This window comes from Homo sapiens, chromosome 16, assembly GCF_000001405.40.
Source record: "Homo sapiens chromosome 16, GRCh38.p14 Primary Assembly".
Lineage (NCBI taxonomy): Eukaryota > Metazoa > Chordata > Mammalia > Primates > Hominidae > Homo > Homo sapiens.
The window spans coordinates 55,082,465-55,087,215 of NC_000016.10; the positions used below are offsets into that span (position 1 = coordinate 55,082,465).

At 48.8% G+C, this 4,751-nt stretch overlaps 1 annotated feature.

The window, feature by feature from the left end:
- Positions 320-497: a silencer, noted in NCBI's record as "fragment chr16:55116696-55116873 (GRCh37/hg19 assembly coordinates)". NCBI's record gives its function as "represses an EF-1alpha promoter that drives an FKBP-Casp9 reporter gene in an ReSE screen in K562 erythroleukemia cells {active_cell/tissue: K562}" and the evidence as "EXISTENCE:reporter gene assay evidence [ECO:0000049][PMID:32094911]".

The window sequence follows — 4,751 nt, forward strand, 5'->3', positions numbered from 1 at the left end:
TAGAAAGTGGATTCCCGCCGTTGCTGCAGCTTTAATTAGGAAGGTCGGTGGCTTCTCGGGCGTCTTGGATTCCTTTAATTTCCACAGAGGGAAGCGGCTTCTGAATTTTATTGAACACAGTTGAATTTTTATTTTCAAAAATCAAAATAGAAACAGTTCTTGGCATCTGTTATGAGCCCTGGGTGTTATTTGCTCTTTAGAGATAAAGTTGTTTTTATATGGGGAGAGAGAGCCAGGGAAAACGGGGCTGGAGATCTGTCCTGGGAAAGATACTCAACTGGGAGATGGTAGTCAGCAGAAAAATAAACCTCCGCTCGACCCAGCTCAGCCCGGGCTCCCCAGCATTCTGGCTGGCTCAAGAAATCCATTTGACAATAAGCAGTTTGAGCTGAGGTTGAGGCGGTTAACTCTTGGGGCTCCAGAGTCTGACCAGGCTCCAGAAGTTTCTGGGGCAGGAAATGATGTGGAGAGAAGTCCCCAAGGCCATGGCAGACCACTGCAAGGAAAGGAAACCTCAGAAGGAAGGTCCCCATTGGTAACCTCAAAAGTCAGAACCATCTCTGAATGCTCAGTCCCAGGTCCATGTGGGGTGGGGGAAGATGCCACGAAGAAGGATTCAGGTTTAAGTAACTTCTGTCCTTCCTCTTCCTTTTTGGTGGGTCAGTTGATCAGTTCGTTGATTAAACACATGTCACACATCTGGAAGCCAGGCACCCAGCAGGCACTGGGCTACCAGAGAGACAGAGCTACAGCTGCTGCCTAACAGGGAAACCACCCAGAGCAGGACTGTGTGCACAGGCTGGGGCGCTGGTGTTGAGGTGGAATAGGGGTTCTCTCCTGGGTGTTTGTTGGAAGAGCCTAGGGAAAATGCAGTTGGGGAGGTTTTACTCACTTGAGAAGTGACATTTGAACTGCTCATGAAGGAAAAACTCAGATTTCGAAACAAAGAAGAGAAAGAAGGGCATGCCGGGCATAGTGCATGGCCTCTGTGAAGGCATGGAGATGTTAGAGAGCAAGTCAGAAACTGACTTGAGTTGCAGCAGAGGAAGCCGATGAGCATGAGGCCTGCCCCAGGGACAATGCTCTGGGGACAGCGTCTTTGTGGGCTCAACCTCAGGGTCCACAGCACATGAACCAGGGAACACACTCAGCCTTGGGCTGGGGCACCTCTGCCTGAAGTTCAGGGAGTGGGATGTGAGTGCATATGGCCACCCATGTAACCCTGCCCAAACCCTGGGAGTGGGTCCCGGTGTCCTCATTTCAGTGAGAAGTATGAATAGTGGAAGCATGGAATGAGGTCACTTCTTTAGCTACAAGAATGTTCCAGTTGCAATTGAGCAAAGCCAGAGTATTCATTCAACAAATATGGAGCCCACATGTTGCGGCAGACACTGTCGGGGCTCCATGAACAAACCCCCAGATCCTTTTTCCATCTTGAGGCTCATCACATCCTGGCTCTGGATGCACTATCTCTCCCAGCAGCCGGCACCTGCATCCTTTTATTGGTGTGCTGCCCTTGGGTTGCGGTGCTTTGTCTGAATGCACGGAGAGCAGCACATACAGCCTTCTAGAGCAGCCTGATGGGGATAGGGTGTGAAAACTTCACCTGCCGGCCGGGTGCGGTGGCTCAAGCCTGTAATCCCAGCACTTTGGTAGGCCAAGTCGGGCAGATCACCTGAGGTTGGGAGTTTGAGACCAACATGACCAACATGGTGAAACCCTGTCTCTACCAAAAATACAAAAATTAGCTGGGTGTGGTGACGGGTGCCTGTAGTCCCAGGTACTCAGGAGGCTGATGCAGGAGAATCGCTTGCACCCAGGAGGTGGAGGTTGCAGTGAGCTGAGATTGCGCCACTGCACTCCAGCCTCGGCAATGCAGCGAGACTCCATCTCAAAAAAAAAAAAAAGAAAACAAACAAACAAGCAAAACAAACAAACAAACAAAAAACTTCACCTCTCCTGCCCCTGACTGGGACAGCTCTGATGTGTGACCTACGCCATCTCCAGCCCAAGGAATCTTCCACAGGACTTTGCATGATATGCACTGTCTCTTGGCCTTCTTCCCTTCCTTGTTCCACTCTGCCATCCCCTGTGGGTTGTTTCTGAAAATGCTGTCTACTAAATCACTTTCACCCAACTCTGTTTCAGGGTGGATGTTGGGGAATCCACTCAAAACATCCATTATGTTTCAGGCATGGTTTTAGGCCTGGCATCACTGTGTTAAATAAGTCACACACATGCCATCTCCATGCACACAAACCAAGAACGTGCCAAACAATTATCTAGGTGCTGGAGGAACAGCGAGAGAACAAAAGCCCCTGCCCTCAAGGAGCTGCCATTATCATGGGGGAGACAGCCATACTTGAACACTAAATAAACAGGGTGGTCAGGAAAGGCCTCCCTGAAGAGGTGACTTTTGAACAGACACCTAGAGGAGATGGGGAGGGTTGAAGCCATGAAAATAGCTGGTATTAAGTGTTCTGGCCAGGCACAGCAGCTCGCGCCTGTAATCCCAGCACTTCAGGAGGCTGAGGCGGGCAGATCATCTGAAGTCGGGAGTTCGAGACCAGCCTGACCAACAAGAAGAAACCCTGTCTCTACTAAAAATACAAAAAAAATTAGCTGGGCATGGTGGTGCATGCCTATAATCCCAGCTACTCGGGAGGCTGAGGCAGGAGAATTGCTTGAACCCAGGAGGCGGAGGTTGAGGTGAGCCGAGATCGCACCATTGCACTCCGACCTGGGCAACAAGAGCGAAACTCTGTCTCAAAAAAAAAAAAAAAGAGTGTTCCAAGCAAAGAGTTGGAACCAACCCAAATGCCCACCAATGATAGACTGGGTAAAGAAAATGTGGCACATGTACACCATGGAATACTGTGCAGCCATATAAAAGAATGAATTCATGTCCTTTACAGGGACACGGATGAAGCTGGAAACCATCATTCTCAGCAAACTAACACAGGAATAGAAAACCAAACACCACACGTTCTCACTCATAGTGGGAGTTAAACAATGAGAACACATGGACACAGGGAGGGGAACATCACACACCAGGGCCTGTTGGGGGGTGGGGGGCAAAGGGGAGAGAGAGCATTAGGACAAATACCTAATGCATGCTGGGCTTAAAACCTAGAAGATGGGTTGGTAGGTGCAGCAAACCACCATGGCACACTTATACCTATGTAACAAACCTGCAAGTTCTGCACATGCATCCCAGAACTTAAAGTAAAATAAAAAAAAAAAAGTGTCCAGCGAGAGACAACAGCAAGTGCAAAGGCCCTGAGGCCAGTTGGTCAGAATGAATTTAAAGGGGGCAGAATAAAGGAGATGAAGGCCAGAGAAGCATGTGGTGTAGTTCTGATAGGGCCTCTACAGTCCACTGCGCACATACTGGCTTTTATTCTGAGTGTGGTGGGAACCAGCAGAGGGTTCTGATCTTTATCTCCTGCAGAGCAGTTTCAGCCCCGTTAAGAAGGCCAACAGGGAGCTGACCTCAATAGGCCACGGGATACCCTGCTCAGAGTGGACTTGTGAAGAACGATGCTCTTCAGGCAGAAGAGCATTGGCCTCTTCCTAAGAGGCTTTTTGCACCAGCTGCCACAAGAATATGCCCCTCTGCATCTTTTACACAGATGCACACCGACACTAACAGGATCATGCCATATATGATTGCTGAAGCTGCTCCTTCTTCTCCTTACTTGCTTACTTATTCAACAAGCATTTGTTGGGCTCCTAGGCCTGTCAGGTGCTATTCTGGGCCTGGGAGCAACCTGGTAAGCAAGGCAGACAGAATCCCTGCCTGAACAGACTCCACGTTCCAGTCGGGGAAAGGGCTGAGAAACAAATGATCAGAAAAACATGGAAAATGTATTTCAGCTGGCACCAAGTCCTATATAGAAGAAAACAAAAACAAAAAACAAAAAACAGGGTCAGATGTGGTGGCTTGGGCCCGTAACCCCAGCACTTTGGAAGGCCAAGGCGGAGAGATCACTTTAGCCCCGGAGTTTGAGAACAGACTGGGCAGCATGGCAAAACCTCGTCTTTACTAAAAATACAAAAATTAGTCAGGTGTGGTGATGTGTGCCTGTAGTCCCAGCTACTTGGAAGGCTGAGGTAGGAGGATCACTTGAGCCCAGGAGGTGGAGGTTGCAGTGAGCGGAGATCACACTGCTGCACTCCAGCCTGAGCTGCAGAGCAAGACCCTGTCTCCAAAAAAGCAAAAAGAAACGCGTGGGACCAGAGGTTCTCAACTGGGAGGATTATGGATTCCATTCCCTAGGGGCACATTTGACAATGTCTGGGGAGATTTTTGATTGTCATAGCTTTCCATGGGTGGGTGCTACTGGCATCTTGTGGATAGACATCAGAGATGCTGTTGAACATCCTGCAATGCACAGTATAGGATCTTGCAAGAAAAAAATATCTGGCAGAAAATGTCAATAGTGCTGAGATTAAATGCTCTGTGTTAGAGATAAAAGAATGAGGCAAAAGAGGTATTGCAGCCAGGGTTGTCAGGGAGGGCCATTCTGAGGGGGTGACACTTCAGCAGAGACATGAATAAAAACTGGTAGTCAACCCTGGGGGAAGAGCTTTCCAAACAGAGAGGACAGCCAGGGCAAAGGTTCTTGATGTGTTTAAGGAATACTTGCAGACTCAGGTTATTCTTTCTAAAGACTTTAGGGTATTTCACTCTGTGAATTAGATAACTCGGGGAATCCAGATTTCACCTTGGAATAATTTCTCAACATTGT